This window comes from Homo sapiens, chromosome 1, assembly GCF_000001405.40.
Source record: "Homo sapiens chromosome 1, GRCh38.p14 Primary Assembly".
Taxonomy (NCBI): Eukaryota; Metazoa; Chordata; class Mammalia; order Primates; family Hominidae; genus Homo; species Homo sapiens.
The window spans coordinates 40,860,562-40,885,942 of record NC_000001.11 but is presented as its reverse complement, the minus strand read 5'-3'; the positions used below and the strand labels follow the sequence as shown (position 1 = coordinate 40,885,942).

Below are 25,381 nucleotides of genomic sequence, written 5' to 3'. Positions count from 1 at the left end.
AGGATCAGGAATGGGCTTTATGGTTGGGATCCAAGATGCAGTAAAAATGAGGTACTTGAGGGAGCAAAGCCAAAGCTCGCTGGGCATAGGTCTTCATTTTCTTTTTCTTTTTCTTTTTCTTTTTTTTTGAGATGGAGTCTCGCTCTGTCGTCCAGGCTGGAGTGCAGTGGCACAATCTCGGCTTACTGCAAGCTCCGCCTCCGGGGTTCATGCCATTCTCCTGCCTCAGCCTCCCGAGTAGCTGGGACTACAGGCACCCGCCACCGTGCCCGGCTAATTTTTGTATTTTTAGTAGAGACGGGGTTTCACTGTGTTAGCCAGGACGGTCAGGTCTTCATTTTCTTTCTTTTTTCTTTTCTTTTCTTTTTATTTTTGAGACAGGGTCTCACACCATCACCCAGGCTGGAGTGCAGTGGCACAATGTCATCTCACTGCAACCTCCACCTCCCGGGTTCAGGCAATTCACCTGCCTCAGCCTTCTGAGTAGCTGGGACTACCTGCGCACAACACCACCCAGGTAATATTTTTGTTTGTTTGTTTTGAGATGGAGTTTCGCTCTTGTTGCCCAGGCTGGAGTGCAATGGCGCAATCTCGGCTCACTGCAACCTCCGCCTCTCGGGTTCAAGCAATTCTCCTGCCTCAGCCTCATGAGTAGCTGGGATTACAGGCGCCTGCCACCACACCCAGCTAATTTTTTTGTATTTTTAATAGAGATGGGGTTTCACTATGTTGGCCAGCTCTGCTCTTGAACTCCTGACCTCAGGTGATCTGACCGCCTTGGCCTCCCAAAGTTCTGGGATTATAGGCGTGAGCCATCGTGCCAGGCCTGTTTTGTATTTTTTGTAGAGATGGAGTGGTGGGGGAGACCTGGGTCTTGCTATGTTGCCCAGGCTGGTCTCGAACTCCTGAACTCAAACAATTCCCCCGCCTAGGCCTCCCAAAGTGCTAGGATTACAGTTGTGGGCCACCACTCCAGGCAGGTCTTCATCGTCCTCCTTTCTGAAGCATGCATCTCCCGGCTGTGTAGTCTTGAGACTTAACCTCTGGGCCTCCTGATGCCCACCTGCTAAACTGCTGTGCAGATGAAGATGCTATTCGTCTTGCACATCTTCTCTGGGTCAGGCACCACCGGGCAGGACAGATGTTCTCACCTACTCCCGCAATACCCCAATGTTGAGCCGTAATGGAATAGTTTAATCCACACCGCCGGCATACATTAGGTGCTCCGTCCAGGCTAGTTCTCTCCCCTTCCCTCATTTCCCCACAAAGCCCCTTGGTGGCTGGGGCCGCCCAGGTGTGCTGACTCACCTGTCTAGAGGAACGGACTGCGCCAGGGGCTGTATCGCTCGGGCCCCGCCACCCCCTGCCCCCGCCCGTCCCGGGCCAGCGCGGTGCAGCCGGGGTCCTGAGCTGCCCCAGGCTGGGAGCAGCGCAATTATCCTAATTACAGCCCGGCCTCCGCGGTGGTGGTGAGCGCGGCCACGCCGTCCCGAGAACGCCCCCGAACCAGGGCCCGAGCGTGGGAACCGCCGTGCCCTCTGCCGCGGGCGGCGGCGGCAGCCGCGTCGGGGACTCGCCCGCCCGCCAGGCCTGGATGGGCGATAAGCCTGCCCCGCCGCTCACACCCGCGGCTAATGACCCGGCTGCGCTCGGCGCGCATGGCCCCCTTTCGACTGCCCCTTTCATCTGCCCCCTCCCAGCGCCCCGCACCCATCAACTCCGCATCCCCATACCTGGGTGGGGACAGCGGCGGGGCCCGAAGCCCCTACTGCCAGGAGCAGCGAGTGGCCAAACGCGCGAGGAGGTTCCCAGGCGCCCGGGGTGCGAAGGAGGGAGACTACGGGCGCCCCGCCCGCAGAGTCCACGCACATCCGCTCATTCATTCATCCATTCGTTCGTCCACGCATCCACTCACTCAGTCACTCGTTCATTTATTCACGACACAGACGTTTTCTAAGTATCCTCTAATGACTGTTTCCTTTTCTGTAAGTTGGGAATAATAATACTATGTAGGCCAGTCGCGGTGGCTCTTGCCTGTAATCCCAGCACTTTGGGAGGCCTAGGCGGGTGGATCACCAGGTCAGGAGTTCGAGACCAGCCTGGCCAACATAGTGAAACCCCGTCTCTACTAAAAATACAAAAATTTAGCTGGGTGTGGTGGCAGGCGCCTGTAATCCCAGCTACTCAGGAGGCTGAGGCAGGAGAATCGCTTGAACCCAGGAGGCAGAGGTTGCAGTGAGCTGGGATAGTGCCATTGCACTCCAGCCCAGGCAACAGTGCAAGACTCTGTCTCAAAAAATAAATACACACATACATACATAAATAAATAAAAATAATAATAATATGAACTTTACAGGATCATTCTAAAGTTTAAGACGGGCATGGGGAGGAAAGAGATGGCTCATTTATTAAGTACTTGTTCTCTCCAAATACACACTAGCTCACACTTCTCACAGCAGCCCTGAATTAGGTAAAACCCCATATTACAGACATGGAGACTGAGTCGCAGAGAAGCCATGGGATTTGCCAAATAACAGGAGTGTCAGACTTTTGTCCTCTGAAGCAGCTCCCACTACACCACGAAGTGAGTATGCAGTTAATGCCTGTTGCACCAAATAATAAAAATAATTACTATAAAAAAGAAAAAACATAAAAAAGAAAAAGAACACTATTGCAATTGACCATAAAAAAATTAAAAAGGCCAAGCACAGTGGCTCATGCCTGTAATCCCAGCACTTTGGGAGGCTGAGGCAGGAAGATTGCTTGAGCCCAGGAGGCTGAGGCTGCAGTAAGCCAAGATTGCACCACTGCACTCCAGCCTGGGTGACAGAGTGGGACCCTGTCTCAAAATAATAATAACAAATAAATAAAATTAAAAATACATTAATAGGAAAGAAATATATATATATATATATAAGAAAAACAGCCGATATTTCTGGAGTATTTATGCTGTGCCAGGCACTGTGCTAATTACTTTCTATGCATTATCTCATTTAATACTTGCAAAAACCTCAGGAGCTGGGCATCATTATGGTATTCCCATTTTACAGATGAGGAAACTAAAGCTGAGAGAATATGTCACTTGCTCAAGGCCACACAGTTAGCAGTGGCTGAAGTCAGGTTTGCACCCACCAAGCCAGGCAGGGCCACCCAGGCTCTTCGCTATGCAGTTGAAATAGAGCAGCCCCCCAGCTGGGCGCTGTGGCTCACGCCTGTAATCCCAGCACTTTGGGAGGCCGAGACGGGCAGATCACGAGGTCAGGAGATCTAGACCATCCTAGTTAACATGGTGAAACCCCGTCTCTACTAAAAATACAAAAAAATTAGCTGGGTGTGGTGGTGGGCGCCTGTAGTCCCAGCTACTCAGGAGACTGAGGTGGGAGAATGGCGTGAACCTGGGAGGCAGAGGTTGCAGTGAGCCGAGATCGTGCCACTGCACTCCAGCCTGGGCGACAAAGCGAGACTCCGTCTCAAAAAAAAAAAAAAAGTAGAGCAGCCCCCCCTCCTCCCCATCTCTCAGTGTCCTTTCTGCCTAAGCTTAGGCACAGAGCCACTGAATGCCTTCTCTTTGGCCCAGCTGCTTCTCACCCCAGGGACCAGCTCAAAATTATCAGGGAACAGTTTCGAGATCTGGTGCGGAGGAAAGGCATAAGATAGAGATGGGGAGCCTGAACTTTTAAACTCTTCAGGCCTCAGTTCCTCAGCTACAAAATGAGCTCAGCAGTCCTTGTTCTGTTTCCCTCACAGCACTGTTGCCCATTTGTTGTTCTTTAGTTTGCTAATTTCCTTCATTTACTGGGAACATTTCTTTTCCTTTCTTTTTTTTTTTTTCTTTTCTTTCTCTTTTTTTTTTTTTTTTTTAAGGCAGAGTCAGTCTGTTGCCCAGGCTGGAGTGCAGTGGTGCAATCACAGCTTTCTACAGCCTCGACCTCCCGGGTTCAAGTGATCCTCCTGGCTCAGTCTCCTGAATAGCTGGAACTGTAGCCACGCACTATCGTACCTGGCTAATCTTTTTATTTTTTGTAGAGATGGGGTCTCCCTATGTTGCCCAGGCTGATCTCAAACTCCTGGGCTCAAGCAATCCTCCTACCTCGGCCTCCCAAAGTCCCGGGATTACAGGCATGAGCCACCACACCTGGCCTACTTAGAACATTTCTTCAGTGCCAACTATGAATTTGGTGCAGGGCTAGGGAGACCAACCATCCAGGTTTGCCCAGGACTGAGGAGTTCCCAAGATGCAGGACATGCTGAAACTAAGACAGTCCTCAGCACACCAGGATGGTGGGTCACCCTGCCTGTGCTGGGTACTGGGGATTTGAGGAGCATCAGGGCCCGGGCCTGGCCTGATCCCTCTGGAAACTGGAAAGGCTCCTGCACACGGGGAGGTATGCCCCATGCAAGCTGTTGTCACTGGGAGCAGGGAGAGGGTGAGGTACCCTGGCAATATGCTGTGCTCAGCTTTTTCCCAGTTCCCTGGCTCCAGGCCCAGGCAGATTCGGCAAAGCAATCCTGGCCATTGCCTGGCTGGGAAAGCCAAGGCTGGAAGTGGCTTTCCCACAGCAGCTGCCATGAGTCAGTGCCCAGGGGCAGGGTGGTCAATCCCACCTCCAGCCACCCACTCCCCATGTGAGCAAGCCGCTTTACCTCTCAGAACTGCCTCCTGTCCTTACCTGGGGGTGGAGAGGAATGTGGCTGGGTGATCACCAAGCCTGGTAGTGGCCTTCTGTTTCCGAAGGCCTTTCCAGGAACCCTCCACTTCACCAGGAATTCAAAGGCGTGGGTGCCTACCAAGAACTTGGTCACTGCTGAGTTCTTGGCAATAACCAGGTGAGGACATGCCAGAAAGCACCTAGAAAGATGGGCTTTTGAAATCAGACAGAACGAGCCGTAATCCCAGATGGTCACTGAACCTCATTTTCCTCCTCTGTAGAATGGGAGCAATACCACCTACCTCTCACTATTGGGGGAGTGAATAAGATTCTGAAGATGTGGAGACAAACCAGATGCTCAGAACACACCAGTCCCCTTCTTGCCCCTCCACCTATCATGCACTCTGTGCCCCAGCTGGCCTAGTCTCAGCCTAATAGACCCTTCATCTGCTCTCTGCCCTCTCCTCTATTCACTAACAAGCCTTCATTGGCTATCCACCATGTGCTGGTCTTTTTAGGAACTCAGGTGAAGCAGACAGATTTTCTTCTTAAACGGACTCTCTGGCCAGGTACAGTGGCTCAAGCCTGTAGTCCCAGCAATTTGGGAGGAAGAGGCAGGAGAATCTCTTGAAGCCAGGAGTTTGACACCAGCCTGCACAACAAAGGGACACCTTGTCTCTTTAAAAAAAAAAAAAAAAAAAAGGAATCTCCTTTCCCTTTCTTATAGGGGAAGTCAAGGCAACTTCTGGGAGGAGAAAGAGCAGCAGTGGCCATGGCCCCTGAGAAAATAGGAGACCAGCTCCCTCATACTGCCCCTTTCTTGGACTGTCACCCTCTTCCTGGATGCCCTTTCCCTTCAGCTGCTGTCCCTCATCATCACTAACATCCCCCACCCCACCCCCAGCCTCCCCACCCCACTGCTCCTTTTGTTCAGACACCTCCTCCAGCAGGGAGGCCTGCCCTGGGTCCCCGGGCAGAATTAACTGTTCCTTCCCCCATGAAGTCTGAGCAAAGTTTCTCCTTCCCAGGGCCTCTGCCTCTTATCTTTGTAGCTTGCAGGGTCTAGCTCATTGTTGGCAGCCATGAATATGGAGAAAGGAGAATCAGAAGGGAAGGGGTGGGCCTGAGTCTATGTTCCAGTTTGGGAAGTTAACAAAAGAATTCCTGCCCGCTCTGTGCCCAGGCGGTGACATTCCCTCCAGAAAGGGAGAAGGTGACAGAGGAGAGGAAGTCTGCCAGGGTAGGGTCCATTCTACGTCCTTCCAGTGTCTTCCTGCCTCACCTCTTGCCCCTGTTTTATGCCCTGAGGCTGGCTGTGAGCAGCCCATCTCCATTGGCAGGAGGCTGCTGGAATGGGGGAGTTTCCCAGACTGGGATGCACATGTGAGGACATCAACTTTGCTAGGAGCAGTGGGTCTCCTCGAGAAGTCATTTCCTTGTGTGTGAGGGGCTTGACCAGATGACCTTAAAGTCCTTCCAGAAGCAATCTTAGGATGCAGAAATGCTGAGATTTCTGGATCTTCATTTCCAGAATCTGTGATCTGAAATGGTTCTGTCCAATATGATAGCCATGAGCCACATGTGGCTACTGAGCCGTTGGTATGTGGCTAATCAAAACTGTGGTATAAGGCCGGGTGCGGTGACACATGCCTGTAATTCCAGAACTTTGGGAGGCCAAGGCGGACAGATTACCTGAGGTCAGGAGTTCGAGACCAGTCTGGCCAACACGGTGAAACCCCGTCTCTACTAAAAAACACAAAATTAGCCAGGCATGGTAATCCCACTACTTGGGAGGCTGAGGCAGCAGAATCACTTGAACTCAGGAGGCGGAGGTTGTAGTGAGCCAAGATCACACCACTGCACTCCAGCCAGGGCAACAAGAGCGAAACTCCATCTCAAAAAAAAAAATTGTGATGTAAGTAAAAAATACACGTTGAATTTCAAAGATCTAGTACAAAAACTGTGAAATCCCTCATTAATCATTTTTATATTAATTACAGGTTTCAATGATATTATTTTGGACATACTGGGTTAAATAAAATTTATTAAAATTATTTCACTTGTTTCTCTTTACTTTCTTAAGTGTGGCTACTAGAACATTCCCAATTTAATATATGACTCACATTTATATTTTTTTCTCCTTCCTTCCTTCCTTCCCTCCCTCCCTTTCCCTCCTTCTTTTCTTTTTTCTTTCTTTCTTTTTCTTTCTTTCTTCCTTCCTTCCTTCCTTCCTTCTTTCCTTTCTTTCTTTCTTTCTTTCTTCCTTCCTTCCTTCTCTCTCTCTCTCTCTCTTTCTTTCTTTCTTTCTGAGACACAGCCTAGGCTGGAGTGCAATGGTATACTTTCGACTCACTGCAACCTCCGCCTCCCAGGTTCAAATGATTCTCATCCCTCAGTGACCTGAGTAGCTGGGATTACAGGCATGTACCACCACACCCAGCTAATTTTTGTTTTTTTGTTTTGTTTTGGTTTTTTACTAGAGATAGGGTTTCGCTATATTGTCCAGGCTGGTCTCGAACTCCTGGGCTTAAGATCCGCCTGCCTCGGCATCGGAAAGTGCTAGGATTACAAGCGTGAGCCACTGCGTCTGGCCCACATTTATATTTCTATTTCTCAGCACGGTCACCCAACTAAGCCAAGACTTCCCTGGGCACCTATTAGCTTTGGGGGTGTGAGAGTATTATTCTTTTCCTAGCAGAGAAGCACCAAACCCTGATGCCTTATGAGAAAGTGCTGCTTCCTCCTCCCAAATAAAGACTACCCCAATTCTCCTCTTCTACCTTAAGGCTAGTTGCTGGGGAGGTGAGGAACAGGATTCATCTTCTCACACTATTCTCCCTCCCTCCACAAAGAAAACAGAATTCAGGCCAGGCACAGTGGCTCAGGTTTGTCTCTAATCCCAGGGTTTTGGGAAGCTATGGTGGAGGGATCACTTGAGGCCAGGAGTTTGAGTCTAGCCTGGGCAACAAAGTGAGACCCTCGTCACTACAAAAAATATAAAAATAAAAATAATAATTAGCAGGGCATGGGGGCACTCTCCTGTAGTCCCAGCCACTCTTGAGACTAAGGGGTGAGAGTCACTTGAGCCCAAAAGTTTGAGGTTATAGTGAGCTATGACCGCATCACTGCACTCCAGCCTGGGTGACAGAGGGAGACTCTGTCTCTAAAAAAATAAAATAAAAAGAGAAAACAGAATTCAGACAGGACTGGGAAATTCCTTCCCAGGCTTGGCTTCCAGCCCAGCAAGAGCCAGGCTGTCGCACCCAGAGGAAACCCCCAGCTGCCCCTTCCTGCCTGGTCCAACCCTGCCCCCAAAGTCTAAGCCATGCTGGGAGGCACCTGAGGAACTACAGGAAGCGTCCTCCCAGCTCCCCCATCCCACAGGCCCCAGCCAGGACAGCATAAGACTGGGCATTTAAGAGGGCACATGACTCTCCCCACAGGGAATTTACACACCAGCCAAGGGGGCGGGGCAAACCCACGGGGTAACTGGAGATGATCACATAAGCAGCCTCCATCTGCTGGGAAACAGCAGGCCTTTAATGAAATGTGGGTAGATGTAGGCCCTGTGTCTCCCTGCCTCACCTCCACCAATATTCTTTTCCTCATTTTGAGAAGGAAACGAAGATGGGGCACAGTGGTTAACAGCAAAGCCTCAGCACTCCTTCAGGCATAAGTTTAAACCCCAGTTCAGCTTGTTGTGTGACTTTGAGCACTAATATCCCTGACTCTGAAGAAATTCCTACCATCGAATTGAAACCCACTTTCCAGTGGTGTCCACCCACTGATCCTAGATTTGTTTTCTGAGGTGATCCAGAACCTTCCACTGCCATTGCCTAGTGAGAGTCATTTAGAGGCCTGAAGACAGTGAGATCAAGGGCCCCCAGAGGCTTACCTTCTCTGAGTTAGCATTCCAGATATTTCCTTGGAGTGCCTCCATCCTGCCCACCCCTCAATCTATTGGAACCCCCCAGGAACTCAATATGAGAGGCAGACCACTGTGGTCATTAAGTGGGTGGATTCTGGAGTCAGATAGCTGTGGTGTAAGTCCTGGCTGCACCTCTTTTTAGCTGTGTAGTCTTGGGCAAGTTACTTCACCTCTCTGTGGCTTGTTTTCAGTTTCCTCACTTCAAAACAGAGACAATAATAGCTCTGATGGGATTGTTGTATTATGAGGATGAAGTCAGTTAACACATGTTAAGCCTTAAAACAGTGCCTGGGATAGTTTTGCTCATATGTCATCTAACGTGTGTGTTGTGATGGAGTGCCCTCCCTACTCCATTACCAGTTGATTGGTCCAAGGGGAGGCTTGACCTAAGCTGGGCCAATGAGTCTTTTCCCAGGGATTTTTAGATCTGAGATGCAGAAAACAGAATCAGTTTTTCTCCATTATCTTGAAGATGCAAGCTATAAAACTCAACCTTTTTCTCTGCACCATGAAGAAAATCAATGTGCTATGAAAGAGAGGGAAGATAACGTGCAGAAAATAGGAAAGACATGAGACAGAACAAGAGAGTCCTGGTTTCAGTTGCTCCTAAATACCAGCTCGATCCCAGCTCTTCTTAAAACGTCATTGTTTGCAACAGTATTTGCTGTGTAACAAGGACTTCAAATTGTTAGGGCTTAGGGCTTAAAGCAGGAATTGTTTATTAGCTCATGATACTATATGCTGCAGTTTGGCTGGGCTCAGCTAGGTGATTCTTCTGCTCTTATCTCCTGGGTTCATTCATGTAGTTGTAGTCAGCTGATGGCTTAGCTAGAGCTGGATGGTCCAGGGTGGCCTGAAGGTGACCCAGCACTTACTGACTGTCTGCCATGTTCCAGGTCCTATGGGAATACCAGAATAGAGAAAATTAATATTTACCAAGCTCCTACTTTGTGTTAGGCCAATGATGGAAATTTTAGTTGCATTATCTCATTTAATCCTCCTAATTGCCTGGCACATAACTCTTGTTGATATCACCCCCATTTTACAGATGAGGAAACAGGTTCCAAGAGAAATAATTTGCCTAAAATTTCAAGACCCAGAGGCACAGAGTTGGAATTCAAGCACAGGATTCCTGAGTGTCTGCAGAGCTCATGCTCTTGCACTGCACCATCCTGCCCTTCCCACACCAAAGAGTAAAACTTAGCTCTACCTATTTGCATAGTGTCTCTAAAAACAAACAAACAAACAAACAAACAAAAAAACTTGGCTCTACCCTCACGCTGCTTAAACTGTGGCCAAGTGGACTGAGTGGATCCAACATCCAACGGTGTCAGATTCAATGACATTCATTCAGTAAATATTCCCCCATACCTATTTTGTACTGGGCATCATGTTAGCTATTAAAGATGAGGAAATGACTCAGACACAGGATGCAGCAGCAGCAGCAGCAGCAATGTGGAGGAGGAAATGATTAATCCTGCCTGGTTTGGGCTCAGCATTGACTCGTTTATCAACCTGACTCTTAAGGAATGGGTGACGCTGGTGAGGAAATGCAGTTCAAAGCAAACTCCCCTTTCCACAGATGTGCAAGAAGGTCTCTGAGTTCCAGTTATGTGGCAGCAATCAGAGGTCAAGGTCATCATCTGGCCAGATGCAGTGGCTCACACCTGTAATCCCAGCACTTTGGGAGGCTGAAGCAGGAGGATTGCTTGAGGTCAGGAGTTCAAAACCAGCCTGGTCAATATAGTGAGATCCTGTATCTAAAAATAATAATAATAATTTTTAAAAGAGAGAGAGAGAAAGGAAGGAGGAAAGATGAACAGGTCCCAGCCAATTACTCCACAGAGTCAGTCTCACATTGAGGCAAGAGGACCAGCCTTTTATACCCCTTACTAGTTTCTTCCCAGGACTGTCAAGGACTAGGGTGGGGGAGATGGGAAGCTTCTATTTGGCTGAGAACAATTCTCAAAAGAAGCGGGCAGCTGTGACTGTTAGTAGTCTACATCATGGCAGCTGGGAAAGGGGATCTGGACAGGGCAGCAACAGCATCCATTCTGGGGAGTCTCGGTGTACTTACATTATAAATCACACAAACAACTTTATAGGCACAAGCCAACTCATTTTTCTCTCTTTTATGTGTTTAAATGCAATATTAGAGGGCCGAGGCAGGAAAATTGCTTGAGTTTGGGAATTTGAGATCAGCCTGGACAACATAGCAAGACCTCATCTCTATTACAAAAAAAAAGAAAAAGAAAAAGAAAGAAAAGAAAGAAAAGAAAGGAAGGAAGGAAGGAAAGAAGGAAGGAAGGAAAAAAAAAAAAGCTGGATGTGGTGGGTGGCGCATGCCTGTAGTCCCAGGTACTCCAGAGGCTGAGGCAGGAGGATGGCTTGAGCCCAGAAGTTCAAGGCTGCAACTTGTGCCATTGGCATATGATTTTTCCACTTGGCATATGACTGTGCCATTACTCCAGCCTGGGTGACAGAGCAAGACCCTGTCTCAAAAAAAAAAAAAAAAAGCAATATTAAATTATACACTTTGTATATAGTGTAAATATATGCATTTTCCATATACTGCATATTACCATGTAGCATATATAAAAACATACCTATTACTATAAGGATTGAATTCACAAAAATGTAATAAGCTCCTTACTGAATTTTTTTTTTTTGAGACGGACTCTTGCTCTGTCACCCAGTGGCATGATCTTGGCTCACTGCAGCCTCCACCTCCTGGGTTCAAGCAATTCTCCTGCCTCAGCCTCCCAAGTAGCTGGGACTACAGGCACATGCCACTACACCTGGCTATTTTTTTTTTTTTTAATTTTTAGTAGAAATGGGGTTTCTCCATGTTGGCCTGGCTGGTCACCAACTCCTGACCTCAAGTGATCCACCCACCTCAGCCTCCCATAGTGCTGGGATTATAGACATGAGGCACTGCACCACCCAGCCTCCTTACTGAGTTCTTAAGGACTGCATATGACTTTTGCCTTACCTGCTGATTTTAGAACTTAATGCCCCTGCCTCCTTTACATGTGACTCCATTGCAGCTGGTTGAGCCCCTCCTGCCTTTCCTAATCTCCCTCTTCCACAGGGTCACAGGGTTTGGGGTCATGCAGGGTGACCTCCTGGCTCCAGTGGCTTACCATCCCATTCGTGACACAACCCAAACTCTTGACTTGGTGCCCCAACAATCTGACCCGTGCCTACCTGCTTGATGGTCAATGCTCAGCTCACCGCCCTCCAGCCTCAGGGCTTCCAAAAATGAATGAATGAATGAATGAATGAATGGGTTCACTGCCATGCCCTAGCAAGTCACCTCAAATCCATTCCATACTTTCCACTGGCAAAAGTTCCGTAGAAGGAGCATCCCTTTCCCGCTTGGAATGCTTCCGTTGTCCCTCCCTACCCACAGAGGCAGGCTGACAATCGCTTGCTTGAGCAGGCAAGTGTAGGGCATGAGGTTAAAAGACCCCAGTTCAAGTCCCACTCTTGCCACTTGCTAGCGAGGCAACATTAGCCAAACTAAGCCTCTCTGAACATCAATTCCTTTCTGTAAAATGGGAGAAACACCTCCTGCCATTTCTCCTTGTTGCAGTGAGATGACACAGAAAGCTCTGCACAGATGATTTTCAATGTTCTGAGTCCTGACTTTCAAGGGTCTTCACCCTTCAGGACTGATCTCTCCCTCTCTCAGCACCCATTTTTCCGGCCTCACCCAGCTACTGGTACTTCCTGAACATCACTCTGTACATTCACATCATGGTGCTTTCCCTCAAAAGCTGTGCTGTTTGTTTAGAAAGCCCATTTCCTGCCTTCTTCATCTGTCCAGATCCTGACCATCGTGAAGTTCCCCTGCCTCTGGGCTCACTTCATCTTTGATGTCTGCTCTACACCAGTGAATGTCTCCCTCACCGCACTCTGAGCCCCTTCTCTGGGTCCAAACTGCTAATCCCAACACCACACTGCACTGCTCCATCTGGACCAGGACCCGTGCTCAATGATGGGACTTCACAGTGGAGGAAGACCCCCCTCCACCTTCAAGAGGGCCACCATCTATTGGGATCAGAGAGGCTGAAAAGCACTTGACCACTTATTTGCAGGCTAGGAGAGCAGAGTGCTTAGGTACACTTGCACTGATGTCAGACATACCTGGCTTTGAATCTCAGGATGTGTGGAACACAAATCCAACTAAAATGGTTTAATTAAATAGGGAGTGCTTTTTTCAAATACTTAAGAAGACCAAGGTAGGAATCCAGGGCTGCTACAGAGTTTCCATGGCGCATGGAGGGTTCAGGCTTCAACTAGATTTCACTCTGCCATCCTTAGCATGGACCATGATTTTTCTTCTCCGTACCTGTTTTCTCATTTATGATGTGGGAATAACAGTATCTTCCTTATAGAATTGTTGTAAATATTAAATGACCAGATGTATGCAAAGAGCTTAAAACAGTACCTGGCTCTATATTAAGTGCTCTATAAGTGTTAGCTGTTATTGTTACTATTATTCTGTCCTTACGCTGAAAAAATGGCTGCTGCCTTTCTAGGCATCACATCCTCATCCCTGTCAGAAAAAGAGGAAAGGCAAAGCATAGAAAGTGAGTGCTGGCTGAAACCGTCTGTTTTTCCCTTCAATTGAGGGGAAATCTATGTAATATAAAATTAGCCATTTAAAAATGAATAATTCGGTGGCATTTAATACATTCACCATGTGTGTGCAACCACCAACTCTATCTAGTTCCAAAATTTTTTTATCATCCGTAAAGGAACGCTTGTATGCATTAAGCAGTTGCTCCCCATTCTCCCTTCCTCCCAGCACCTGGTAACCACCAGTCTGCATTCTGTCTCTGTGAGTTTACTTATTCTGGATAATCCCATTTGTTTTCAAAGAGCTTTCCAGGAAGCCCCACCCAGCCTTTTCTGCTCAGACCTCATTGGCCAGGAATGTGTCTGATTTTTGGCTGGGCAAATTGATGCCCTAAACAAAATCAGCATCTGTCATTCTACTTTTTTTTTTTTTCCCTGAGACAGAGTCTTGCTCTGTCACCCAGTCTGGGGTGCAGTGGCATGATCATGGCTCACCGTAGCCTCAACCTCCTGGGCACAAGCAATCCTCCCGCCTCAGCCTCTCAAAGCACTGGGATTACAAGTGTGATTCACCGGGCCCAGCCTAATTTACTTATTTATTATGTTTAATTATTTATCTCTCTACCATCAGAATATCAGCTCCACATGGGCAGGGAACTTTGCCTGTTTCATTTAGACACCTAGACCAGTGCCTGATTCATACTGTATCTCATTAATATGAAATGTTATCAATTTTAAAAGATTCTTGTCTCCTTTGAGACAGGGTCTGGCTGCGTTGCCCAGGCTGGAGTGCACTGGCACGATCTCATCTCACTGCAACCTCCACCTCCTGGGCTCAGGCCATCCTCCCACCTCAGCCTCCCAAGTAGCTGGGACTACAGGCGGATGCCACCATGCCCAGCTAATTTTTTAATTTTTTGTAGAGACAGCATTTTGCCATGTTGCCTAGACTGGTCTCCAACTTTTGAGCTAAAACAATCCACTCACCTTGGCCTCCCAAAATACTGGAATTACAGGGATAAGCCACCATGCCTGGCCTAAAAGATTTTTATTTTGGAAAAGTTAGTGTGAAAAAAGATTTTTGTGTCTTAGAATCAATAAAATATAGTTGTAAGTTCTCTAAGTATTAAAATGTGGAATGAGGCAAAGCACGGTGGCTCACGCCTATAATCCTAGTGCTTTGGGAGGCTGAGGCTGGAAGATTGCTGGAGCCCAGGAGATTGCATTGTGCCACTGCACTCTAGTCTGGTTGACACAGTGAGACCCTGCCTCTAAAACAAAACAAAACAAAACAAAAAATTACTTAGTGTGTTAGTCAATGATAAATGCTGAGAAGAAATAGAAAGTAGAGCAAGGTAAAGCCCATTTGGGGGATGGAAAGGAGACAGGTTACTATATTAATATACAGTTGACCAGTATTTATGGGTTTTACATCTGTGAATTCAACCAGTCTCAAATTGAAAAAAAAAAAAATTGTTTTAAATTGTGACTAGGCCAGGTGCAGTGGCTCATGCCTATAATTCCAGAACTTTGGGAAGCCAAGGTGGGAGGATCACTTGAGCCCAGGAGTTCAAGACCAGTCTGGGCAACATAGCAAGACCACGTCTCTACAAAAAAGAAAAAAGAATTAGCCAAGCATGGTGGTGCATGCCTGTAGCCCCAGCTACTCAGAAGCCTGAGGTGGGAGGATCACTTGAGCCTGGAAGGTTAAGGCTGCAGTGAGCCATGCTCATACCACTGCATTTTAAGACCCTGTCCAAAAAAAAAAAAAATTATATCTGTACAGAACATGTACAGACTTTTTCCTCTTGCCACTATTCCCTAAACAATAGAGTATAACAGCTATTTACATAGCATTTACATTGTATTCAATATTATAAGTACTCTAGAGATGATTTAAGGAATACCAAAGGATAATGCATAGGTTATATGCAAATACTATGTCATTTTATATTGAGAACTTGAGCAAATGAGGATTTTTGTATCCATGGGGAGTCTAAAACCAATCCCCCATGGATACCAAGGGACAACTATCTATTGCTGTGTAACAAATTACCCCAATACTGGGCAGTTTAAAACAACATACATTTAGTATGTCAGTTTCTGTGGGTCAGGAATCCAGGAGTAGCTTAGCTAGGTCATTCTGCCTCAGGGTTTCTCATGAGTTTGCAAACAAGATGTTGGCTGGGGCTGCAGTCATCTGAAAGCTTGACTGGGGCTGGAGGAGCTGCTTCCAAGATGGCTCACACATACAGCCATTAGCAAAAGGCCTTAATTCCTCACTGACTGATGGCAAGAAGCCTCGGTTCCTTTCATGTGGACCTCCCCAAGGGGCTGCTTGAGTATCCTCACAACATGTCAGCTAACTTTCCCCAGGGCAAGTGATTCCAGAGTGAGAGCAAGGAGGAACCCACAATATCTTTAATGACCTAGCCTTGGAAATGACACCATCACTTCTGCTGTATTCTCTTAGCTGGAAGTGAGTCACTAAGTCTATCCCACATTCAAGGAGAGGGAAATTTAAGGGAGAAGTATCAAAGAATTTGCAGACATATTTGAAAACCACTACAATTAAATAGGGTGCTCAGCATAAGAGAAAGGTAATATTGGCCAAGCAGATACGGAAGGCTCTTTCCTCTGTCTAGAATGCTCTCCTACTCACCTCCATGTCTGCTTGACCAATTCCCTCACCTCCTTTAGGTTTTTGCTCAAATATTACCTTTCTCTTATGCTGATATTGTTGGGGCTGGAGTGCATGCAGGTAAAGGGAAAGAGGAAAGTGCCCCCTGAGAGGCAACTAGCAGAGCTTCCACATGCCTGTCCTCCATCACTAGCTGTGTGGCCCTGTGGTCACTCTCCATTCTGAGTCCCAGTTTCCTCCTCTGTGTAATGGGAACGATAGTAGTAACTATTCATAGGTTTATTATGAGGATTAAATAAGACAGTATCTGTAAAGCATGCAGGCCATGTCTGGTATACTGTATTCAGTAAACATTAACTAATGTTATTCTTGTTACAATCAGATGCTGTAGCCTCAATCTTTTTAAATTTTTTTTTTAATTTTTTGAGACTGGGTCTCACTTTGTCAGCCAGGCTGGAGTGCAGTGGTGTAATCATGGCTCACTCCTGGGCTCAAGTGATCCTCCTGCCCCAGCCTCTCCAGCAGCTGGGACTACAGACATGAGCCACTGCGTCCAACCTGTAGCCTATTCTTCTCATCTGAGCCTCAGGTACAATGGTGCAGATCACCAGCTGGGGTCTCTTAGAGGACATGGCCCTTGGGGGATGTGGTAGCAATATCTCCTCTCCTCTGCAACATAGAGAAAAAGTGGCAGAGGAGACAAATTCTGCCTGCCAGCCAGCCCAGACCTCAGCATCAGAGAAGCCACCAGGTTTGGGTGTAAGTCGGCTAAGCTGCCTGGGGGGTTGGAAGCCTGGTCAGCTATGGACCAGGAAACCAGCTCAGAAGTTCGAGAATGAGGTCCTCCCCACACCCTCTCATGAGACCTCCAGTCTCAGTCAACCTCTAGACAGTCCCTTGCTGAGTGCTGGAAATGCGGCAGTGGACAAGAGCAAAACCCAAGAGGTAGCAAATCAAGTGTCCACGCCAGTCAGGACCTGAGGTCTTTGAGGGAGGTAGAAGCCACCTAGGATGGGTCCTCCGGTGTGTCCTCAGAAGGGGGACTGGACACAGGGAGGGAGAGGAAGGGACTGCACCCTTGCCCCGCAGCACAAGATGGAGCTCAGGGCCCAGTGCCTTTCCTTGGTCAATGCCCACCTGGGCCAAAGTCTACTATGGTCCTGTCTACTCGTGCTTGTAAAGGTGTGGCTTAGGGTAAAAGCAGCTTAGGTCAGTGTGAAAGGCTCTGCTCCAAGGGCTACAAATGTTGCCTCCACTCCTGATTCCACCACACACACACCGCAGATATACACTCCACATACATACCTCAGCAATTCCAACCATTTTCTGGGCCTCAGTTTCCTTCTCTGTCAAAAAGTCTTTGCTCAAATATAAGGACAGTAAGGATAAGGATACTTACTATAAGTCTTGGGATTACAGGCATAAGCCACAAGGATAGTAAGTTTTTCTGTGCCTAATTTATTCATACAGTCAATGCTTATTAAGTCCCTACTATGTGTCAAGCACTGTTCTGATGCCTTGGAAAGACTGTGTAGAGCAAGATATTCAATGCCTGTGCTCTCTGGGAGCTGACCTAGTGGTGGGGAATCATTCTCTGAAATACAGTCATGAGTCACTTAACAATGTGGATATGTTCTGAGAAACATGTTGTCAGGTGATCTTATCATTGTGCAAACATCATGGAGTGTACTTACACAAACCCAGACGGCACAGTCTACTATGCACCTAGGCTATGTGGTATAACCTATTGCTCCTAGGCTACAAACCTGTACTGCATGCTACTGGGCTGAACATTGTAGGCAACCCTAACACAATGGTAAGTATTCATGTACCTAAACACAGAAAAGGTATAGTAAAAATATGGTATAAAAATACAGTATAGGACAGGCACAGTGGCTCACGCCTGTAATCCTAAGACATTGGGAGGCCAAGGCGGGTGGATCACTTGAGGTCAGGAGTTTGAGACCAGCCTGGCCAACGTGGTGAAACCCCATCTCTACTAAAAATTAAAAAATTAGCCAGGCATGGTGATGCACACCTATAACCCCAGCTACTCCATAGGCTGAGGCAGGAGAATTGCTTGGACCCAGGAGGCGGAGGTTGCAGTGAGCCAAGATTGTGCCACTACACTCCAGCCTGGGCAACAGAGAGAGACTGTGACTCAAAAAAAAAAAAAAAAAAGAAAAAAGAAAAAAAAAGAAACAGTATAAAAGATTTTAAAAAACTGGTACACCTATATAGGGCACTTACCACAAGTGGAGCTTGCAGGACTGGAGGTTGCTCTGGGTAAGTGAGTGAGTGGTGAGTGAATGTGAAGGCCTAGGACATTATTGCACACTACTGTAGACTTTATAAGCTACACTAAATTTATAACAAAGATTTATTTCTTTAATAATAAATTAACCTTAGCTTACTGTAACGTTATGTACTTTTTAAAACTTTTAAACTCTTTTGTAATAGCACTTAGCTTAAAACACAAACACATTGTACAGCCTTTCCTTCTTTCACTTTATTTATTTGTTTGGGACAGAGTCTTGCTCTGTTGCCCAGGCTACAGTGCAGTGGTGCGATCTTGGCTCACTGCAACCTCTGCCTCCTGGGTTCAAGTGATTCTCCTGTCTCAGCCTCCCAAGTAGCTGGGATTATAGACACGCACCAACATGCCTGGCTAATTTTTGTATTTTTAGTAGAGACGGGGTTTCGCCATGTTCGCCGGGCTGGTCTCGAACTCCTCACCTCAGGTGATCCGCCCTCCTGGGCCTCCCAAAGTGCTGGCACTACAGGCATGAGCCACCGTGACTGGCCCTCTTTTTTTTTTTTTTATGACAGGGTCTCACTCTGCCACCTAGGCTGGAGTGCCATGGCACAATCCTGGCTCACTGCAGCTTCAACCTCCTAGGCTCAGGTGATCCTCCCACCTCAGCCTCCCAAGTAGCTGGGACTACAGGTGCATGCCATCATGCCTGACTAATTTTTTTTATTATTGGTAGATACAAGGATCTTGCTATGTTGCCCAGGCTAGTTTCAAACACCTGGGCTCAAGTGATCCTCCTGCCTCAGCGTCTCAAAGTGTTGGGATTACAGGCGTGAGCCGCCACACACAGCCCGTTTTTGTTCTTTATATCCTTATCCTATAAGCTTTTCTCTATTTTCAATATTTTTTTTTTTACTGTTTTTGTTAAAAACTAAGACACAAACACACACATTAGCCTGGGGTCAGGATCATCAATATCACTGTCTTCCACCTCCACACCTTGGCGCACTGGAAGGTTTCAGAGGCAGTAACATGCAGCTGTCATCTCACGTGATAACCGCCTTCTGCAATACCTCCTGAAGGACCTGCCTGAGGCTGCTTTACAGTTAACTTTTTTTTTTAAGTAGAAGGAGTCCACTCTAAAATAACAATAAAACATATCATAAGTACGTAAACCAGTAACATAGTTGTTTATCATCATTATCAAGTGTACTGTACATAACTGTATGTGCTATACTTTTATATGACTGGGGGCGCAGTAGGTTTGTTTACACCAGCATCACCACAAACACGTGAGGAATGTGTTGCGCTATGACGTTACAGTGGCTACAAGGTCACTAGGTGATAGGAATTTGTCAGCTCCATTGTAATCTTATAGGACCATTGTCTTGACCCAAATGTAATGCAGGGCATGACTGTATGGTGGTGGGTGCTAAGGACAGAAGCAAAACAGAGTAAGGGGACAGAATGGATAGAGGGTGGTCAGGGAAGGTCTTGTGGCTGTCTGAAGGAAGGGCATTCCAGGCAGAGGGCACAGCAAGAGTCCTGAGAAGCAAATGTGCTTGGGGCATCCAAGGAGCCTGGAGGAAGCAGTTTATGGAAACTCTAGAAACAAATGAGGTCTGACCATAGCAACACTTTCAGAACAAAGGCCAGATCATGTCACTCCTCTGCCAAAGTCCTTGCAAGGCCTCAATGCAGTTGGCCTCCCTGCTACCCTCCTAGCCCCACTGCACTCTGTCCACACTCCCTTAGGGCTGCGGCTCACCCTTGCCTAAGGCTTCCCCCTAACTCAGAGGTCCTTAATCAGAATCACCCGCAGGGCTTATTAAAACACAGATGCTGAATTCCAGCCCAGTTTCTGATTCAGAAACTGATTTGAGTCTGGTGTACGGTCCTAGAATGTGCATTTCTAATGGGGTCCCTGGTAAGGCTGACACTTCAGGACTTGTTGCTACAGTTTTAGAAGTGCTGCTCCAGCGTTCTCTCTGCTGATACGGCTTTTTTTTTTTTTCTTCTTTTAAAGATAGAGTCTTGCTTTGTTGCCCAGGCTGGAGTGCAGTGGCACCATCTCGGCTCACTGCAACCTCTGCCTCCTGGGTTCTGGCGATTCTCCTGCCTCAGCCTCCTGAGTAGCTGGGACTACAGGTGCGTGCCACCACACCCAGCTAATTTTTGTACTTTTTGTAGAGACGGGGTTTCACCATGTTGGCCAGGCTGATATCAAATTCCTGACCTCAAGTGACCTACCCACCTCAGCCTCCCAAAGTGCTGGGATTACAGGCGTAAGCCACCACGCCCAGCCCGCTTTTGCCCCAGATACCCCACTTAATACTACAACTTGCTCCCCTCCTCCCCTGCACCCCAACCTCCTTCCTACTCTATTTTTCCTTTTTTTTTTTTGTCTTTTCTCTTTTTTTTTTTTTTTTTTTGAGATGGAGTCTCACTCTGTCGCTGGGGCTGGAGTGCAGTGGCGCTATCTAGGCTCACTGCAACCTCCGCCTCCTGGGTTCAAGCAATTCTCCTGCCTCAGCCTCTTGAGTAGCTGAGATTACAGGCGTGTGCTACCACACCCAGCTAATTTTTGTATTTTTAGTCGAGACAGGGTTTCACCATGTTGGCCAGGCTGGTCTCAAACTCCTATATCAGGTGATCTGCCTACCTTGGCCTCCCAAAGTGCTGGGATTACAGGTGTGAGCCACCATGCCCGGCCTAAAGAACTTCTTAAACATTAGTTACACACACATTTTTTTTTAAATGGAAAATCATCTGGTGGTGCAATGGCTCCCAAATGCTGGTGACCTAAGACCAATGATGGCAGAATAATTTTTTGTTTGTTTTGTTTGTTTTTTTTTGTTTTTTGAGAGAGGGTCTCCCTACATCACCCGGGCTGGAGTGCAGTGGTGTGATCATAGCTCACTGTAGCCTCAACTTCCCAGGTTCAAGTGATCCTCCCACCTCAACCTCCCAAGTAGCAAGGACTACAAGTGCACACCACCATGCCAAGTTAATTTTTTATTTTTTCAGAAACAGGGGTCTCAAACTCCTGAGCTCAAGGGATCTACTTACCTCGGCCTCCCAAAGTGCTGGGATTACAAGCGTGAGCCACTCACCTGGCCTGCTTGTTGATTTTTTTGAGACAAGATCTCTGTCGCCCAGGCTGGAGTGCAGTGGTGCCATCATGGCTCACTGCAGCCTCCACCTCCAGGGCTCAGCTAATCCTCCCACCTGAGCCTCCTGGGTAGCTCAGACTACAGATACATGCCACTATGCCCAACTAATTATTTAACTTTTTGTAGAGACACGGTCTCACTATGTTTCCCAGGCTGGTCTTGAGCTCCTGGGCTCAAGCAATCCTCTCACTTTCATCTCCCAAATTGGGCAGATTTTCCGTCTTTATCAAAGCCCCCACTCACCCACCCCTTACCCCCCACATCTCCAGATAAGTGTGAGGCATGGCCAGGTTTAAGAATTTCTGTGAGAAGCCTTACCTGTAGAGAAAGATTCAGGAGAATAAATTCCAGGGTGTAGCTTTTTACACTTTGCAAAAATGTGACCACACCCATGGTCATTTATCACTACCCACAAGCTCTCAGGCTGACCAGGCAAGATCACCGTCTCCCTTTCACAGAGCAGAAAGCTGAGGCCCTGGGGAATCAAGTAATACTCCCCGCTCAACACTCAACAGTCACAGCTGGTTGGTGGTGGAGGTCACACACCTGTGGGTGGCAGAGATATGATTAGAACTTGGGCCTCTGGCTGGGCGCAGTGGCTCATGCCTGTAATCCTAGCACTTTGGAAGCCTGAGGTGAGAGGGTCACTTGAGGCCAGGGATTCGAGATAAGCCTGAGGCCCTCCTCACTCCCCCACGCCGCCCCTCCCCCCCGCTCCCTTCTCTATTTAAAAAAATAAGAAGAAAGAGGGAAGAAAAGACCTTGGGCCCCTGAATTCTCACTCTAGGGCTCTCCCCTCTACATCAACTGGATAAACCCAAGTTCCAGGAAGTCCCAAGGATGCCACAGGTCGGGGGAAGGTCAGAGAAGGGAGAGAGAGTGTCAAATGCGTGGAGGGTAAGGTTCTGGGAGGCTGTCTCCTGGCCACAGGAAAGACTCCAGTTGCCCTAAGGACTTGGAAAACACATGGCATTCACACGCTAACTCTGGCTGCCTGTGACCTCAGGACAGCCACTTTCTCTTTGTGTGCTTCTCCTTATCACTGAAATGGGGCTGATAATCCATGCCCTGCCCCCAACAAAATACTTGTAGAATGTAAAGCACTTTAAAAGTCCAAGTTATTATTGCTGTTATCAAGAGAAGGCCCTTTGGGACAGAACTTAAATAGCCTTGGCCGGGCGCGGTGGCTCACGCCTGTAATTCCAGCACTTTGGGAGGCCGAGGCGGGCGGATCACGAGGTCAGCAGATCGAGACCATCCTGGCTAACACGGTGAAACCCCGTCTCTACTAAAAATACAAAAAAAATTAGCCGGGCGTGGTAGCGGGCGCCTGTAGTCCCAGCTACTCGGGAGACTGAGGCAGGAGAATGGCGTGAACCCGGGAGGCGGAGCTTGCAGTGAGCCAAGACAGCGCCACTGCAGTCCAGCCTGGGCGAAAGAGCGAGACTCCGTCTCAAAAAAAAAAAAAAAAAGAACTTAAATAGCCTTTCTTTCATCTAAGGGACACTTTTGAGCATCTACCACATACCAGGCACTGTGCTAGGCACTGTGCACACATGCCCTCACTTACCCCTCACAAAGGGTCAGTGCTGCTGTTCTTTACCTTTTACAGATGAAGAAACTGAGGCTCAGCTGAGAGTTGCAATTCATTCCATCATTAGTTCATTCACTCAGCTTTTACTAAAAGCCTGCTCTGGGCCAGGCTCTGGGCCAAGTGCTGAGAAGAAGAAGATGAACAAGTCCTTCAGGAGACGTGCCCATAAATTAATAACAACTAAGTACATGCTTCAACAGACAAGGTGCAGTGGGAACTAGAGGGGGAGCAACAGGCTCTCCTGGGGGTTATGGGAATGGACAGCTGACCTCCTGCGGGGACCCTGCACCGCTAAGGTGCATGCGCCCTGTGTAGCTGTGCAGTCTCACTTTGATCAAGGCTTTGCTGTGTATTTCCAGGAAGCCTCTTCCGCCACTGAGCCTCGGTCTCTACCTGGAAAGTTAAAAGGTTGCGTAGGCCTGACATCCTGCAGCTCTTGGGGGGCCTAAAACTCTGGCCCTCCCACCCCACCTTCTGGTCAGTTCAAGCTCTACCCCAGCCAAGTCCGATTCCGAAGCCCTGAGGGCCAGACCGAATCCCTCCGAAAGTGCCAAATACCCCGCCCCAGGGCGGTGCTCAGAGCCTGGGGCGTGGCCGGAGTCCCAAGGGGCGGGGTTCCAGTGGGAGGGGCGGGGCCAAGACCTAGATGCAGGCGTGCGCGGCCCGCCCAGAAGCGTCTCGCCCAGCCAATGAGCGTCCGAGGGCGGGGAAGCCCCGCCTCTGGGTATAAGAATACGCCGAGCCCAGCTACGCGACGCGGAGGTTTCGGAGCACTACAGGTTGCGGGCCTTTGTGACCCCAGGCTGCGGCCGCAAGGTGCGCAGTAGTGGGCTGGGCCGGGGCACCAGTCGGGTTTGGTTTTGCTCCGCCCGGCCGAGCTGCAGGGACCGCACGGTGCCCGGGTCTCCCGCCGCAGAGCAGCCGCTGGCCCGGGCCGGGGGAGCCGGCGCTGACCACCGCGCGCTGTCCCCGCAGGCAGCCGGCCTGCCGCCATGGCCGACCACCTGATGCTCGCCGAGGGCTACCGCCTGGTGCAGAGGCCGCCGTCCGCCGCGGCCGCCCATGGCCCTCATGCGCTCCGGACTCTGCCGCCGTACGCGGGCCCGGGCCTGGACAGTGGGCTGAGGCCGCGGGGGGCTCCGCTGGGGCCGCCGCCGCCCCGCCAACCCGGGGCCCTGGCGTACGGGGCCTTCGGGCCGCCGTCCTCCTTCCAGCCCTTTCCGGCCGTGCCTCCGCCGGCCGCGGGCATCGCGCACCTGCAGCCTGTGGCGACGCCGTACCCCGGCCGCGCGGCCGCGCCCCCCAACGCTCCGGGAGGCCCCCCGGGCCCGCAGCCGGCGCCAAGCGCCGCAGCCCCGCCGCCGCCCGCGCACGCCCTGGGCGGCATGGACGCCGAACTCATCGACGAGGAGGCGCTGACGTCGCTGGAGCTGGAGCTCGGGCTGCACCGCGTGCGCGAGCTGCCCGAGCTCTTCCTGGGCCAGAGCGAGTTCGACTGCTTCTCGGACTTGGGGTCCGCGCCGCCCGCCGGCTCCGTGAGCTGCTGAGGGCGGCCGGCGCCCGCCCGGCGTGCCGGAGAGGAGAAAGGGCCCGACTGCCCGCCGGACCCTGCACCCAGCGACTGGGCCCCGCGCGCGCCCTCCGCGAGGGTGGAGGCGGCGGCTGTGTGCGCAGGGCCCGGCACCGGACTGGGACCCTGGCGTCCCTCCAGGCCTTGCCTCCTGCGGGAGGACAGTTTGGCTTCACTTCTCTGACCCCAGCCTCGGCCGTAAAGTGAAAGAGACCGGACCAGCTTCAGCTTTCGGACTCTGGTTCTTGGATCGTGTCCTCTCCCCCTCGCCGCCCTCTTCCCCCAATCTGAGCCATTGCAGGCCTCTGCCTGCTGCCCCCTCTCTCCTCGGGATCGGGTCCCCAGAGCCACCATCTCCTGAGCCTCCCACCCCGCTGCCTGGGCCCTGTGGTTGCTGGGCCTCCCACCTCAAGGAGGGGAAGGTTGTACAGCCCGAACCCGTGGAGCAATGCCCTGTCTGGCCTCCAAAACCAAAATAAAACTGGGTCACTTTACAGTCTTGCCGTTTTCATTTCCTTATCACCCCGAGCCCTGACTATATTTAGCTTCCAAAGTCCCAAGGTTGCTGAAGACACTGGATGGCATGGGGGCCACAGTCCCCAGCAGTGCCCAGGAGAGGAAACCGACAGTTTCTTTCAAAAATATCTCGTGGGTTGTGCAATTGTTATGTCACAACCTGGAGGGCAGAGGCTGCCACTGGGTGGTGGGGTAACCCACTGGGCTTCCCAGCTCCTAGGGTAGGGTGGGGGGAGCTTGGTGCTCTGCCAGAGAGGAGCTGGGTGGCACCGAGTTCAGACAGCCTAGCTTTGGACCCTGACTCTCTCCTTTGCCCAAGACACCATCCGTTCTGATTTTTGAGGCGGTTTCCCAGAGGGAGATGGTCCCCGTCTCCTCAGGTAGTTACGCTGCCTTTAGCACAGTGCCAAATACCTGGGCAGTTCTCAGTAAGTGACGGCAATTATTATTCTACAAATTGGTGCTGATTTTA

At 49.4% G+C, this 25,381-nt stretch overlaps 1 protein-coding gene and 1 long non-coding RNA gene across 3 annotated transcripts, besides 11 other annotated features; one reads left to right on the top strand and one right to left on the bottom strand.

Moving 5' to 3' along the window:
• Positions 1,623 to 2,124: an enhancer, noted in NCBI's record as "H3K27ac hESC enhancer chr1:41349491-41349992 (GRCh37/hg19 assembly coordinates)". NCBI's record gives its function as "activates a minimal SCP1, AML or CMV promoter by ChIP-STARR-seq in naive and primed H9 embryonic stem cells {active_cell/tissue: H9 hESC(naive and primed)}" and the evidence as "EXISTENCE:reporter gene assay evidence [ECO:0000049][PMID:30033119]".
• Positions 4,037 to 4,536: an enhancer, noted in NCBI's record as "H3K4me1 hESC enhancer chr1:41347079-41347578 (GRCh37/hg19 assembly coordinates)". NCBI's record gives its function as "activates a minimal SCP1, AML or CMV promoter by ChIP-STARR-seq in naive H9 embryonic stem cells {active_cell/tissue: H9 hESC(naive)}" and the evidence as "EXISTENCE:reporter gene assay evidence [ECO:0000049][PMID:30033119]".
• Positions 9,301 to 9,472: a silencer, noted in NCBI's record as "fragment chr1:41342143-41342314 (GRCh37/hg19 assembly coordinates)". NCBI's record gives its function as "represses an EF-1alpha promoter that drives an FKBP-Casp9 reporter gene in an ReSE screen in HepG2 liver carcinoma cells {active_cell/tissue: HepG2}" and the evidence as "EXISTENCE:reporter gene assay evidence [ECO:0000049][PMID:32094911]".
• Positions 9,301 to 10,620: a biological region, named in NCBI's record as "P300/CBP strongly-dependent group 1 enhancer GRCh37_chr1:41340995-41342194".
• Positions 9,421 to 10,620: an enhancer, noted in NCBI's record as "P300/CBP strongly-dependent group 1 enhancer chr1:41340995-41342194 (GRCh37/hg19 assembly coordinates)". NCBI's record gives its function as "activates an origin of replication core promoter dependent on BRD2, BRD4, P300/CBP, MED14 and CDK7 cofactors, with strong dependence on P300/CBP, by STARR-seq in HCT116 cells {active_cell/tissue: HCT116}" and the evidence as "EXISTENCE:reporter gene assay evidence [ECO:0000049][PMID:35650434]".
• Positions 17,272 to 17,566: a silencer, noted in NCBI's record as "tiled region #4660; HepG2 Repressive DNase unmatched - State 8:EnhW". NCBI's record gives its function as "represses a minimal TATA promoter and a strong SV40 promoter by Sharpr-MPRA in HepG2 cells {active_cell/tissue: HepG2}" and the evidence as "EXISTENCE:reporter gene assay evidence [ECO:0000049][PMID:27701403]".
• Positions 19,012 to 23,559, bottom strand: LOC124904157 (uncharacterized). Of its 2 annotated transcripts, none has more exons than XR_007066025.1 (3): positions 22,833 to 23,559; positions 21,548 to 21,775; positions 19,012 to 19,195 (listed from the first exon to the last, which is right to left on the bottom strand). It is a non-coding gene; the product is annotated as an uncharacterized LOC124904157 (long non-coding RNA). The 2 variants fall into 2 exon arrangements; XR_007066024.1 differs by lacking the exon at positions 19,012 to 19,195 and having other exon boundaries at positions 21,355 to 21,775; positions 22,833 to 22,946; positions 23,093 to 23,559.
• Positions 19,671 to 20,220: an enhancer, noted in NCBI's record as "H3K27ac-H3K4me1 hESC enhancer chr1:41331395-41331944 (GRCh37/hg19 assembly coordinates)". NCBI's record gives its function as "activates a minimal SCP1, AML or CMV promoter by ChIP-STARR-seq in naive H9 embryonic stem cells {active_cell/tissue: H9 hESC(naive)}" and the evidence as "EXISTENCE:reporter gene assay evidence [ECO:0000049][PMID:30033119]".
• Positions 20,221 to 20,770: an enhancer, noted in NCBI's record as "H3K27ac-H3K4me1 hESC enhancer chr1:41330845-41331394 (GRCh37/hg19 assembly coordinates)". NCBI's record gives its function as "activates a minimal SCP1, AML or CMV promoter by ChIP-STARR-seq in naive H9 embryonic stem cells {active_cell/tissue: H9 hESC(naive)}" and the evidence as "EXISTENCE:reporter gene assay evidence [ECO:0000049][PMID:30033119]".
• Positions 23,194 to 23,253: an enhancer, noted in NCBI's record as "active region_857". NCBI's record gives its function as "activates an Ori minimal core promoter by ATAC-STARR-seq in GM12878 lymphoblastoid cells {active_cell/tissue: GM12878}" and the evidence as "EXISTENCE:reporter gene assay evidence [ECO:0000049][PMID:35858748]".
• Positions 23,354 to 23,553: a silencer, noted in NCBI's record as "silent region_737". NCBI's record gives its function as "represses an Ori minimal core promoter by ATAC-STARR-seq in GM12878 lymphoblastoid cells {active_cell/tissue: GM12878}" and the evidence as "EXISTENCE:reporter gene assay evidence [ECO:0000049][PMID:35858748]".
• On the top strand, positions 23,580 to 24,889 carry CITED4 (Cbp/p300 interacting transactivator with Glu/Asp rich carboxy-terminal domain 4). The gene has a single exon (NM_133467.3). It carries the CDS (start codon positions 23,816 to 23,818, stop codon positions 24,368 to 24,370), a length of 555 nt encoding a protein of 184 aa, NP_597724.1. The 5' UTR covers positions 23,580 to 23,815; the 3' UTR covers positions 24,371 to 24,889.
• Positions 23,714 to 23,793: a silencer, noted in NCBI's record as "silent region_736". NCBI's record gives its function as "represses an Ori minimal core promoter by ATAC-STARR-seq in GM12878 lymphoblastoid cells {active_cell/tissue: GM12878}" and the evidence as "EXISTENCE:reporter gene assay evidence [ECO:0000049][PMID:35858748]".
• Positions 24,890 to 25,381: the final 492 nt, after the last annotated feature.

Bases quoted from the DNA above. Each gene is read 5' to 3' on its own strand.
- CITED4 (NM_133467.3), top strand. From the start codon at position 23,816: ATGGCCGACCACCTGATGCTCGCCGAGGGCTACCGCCTGGTGCAGAGG.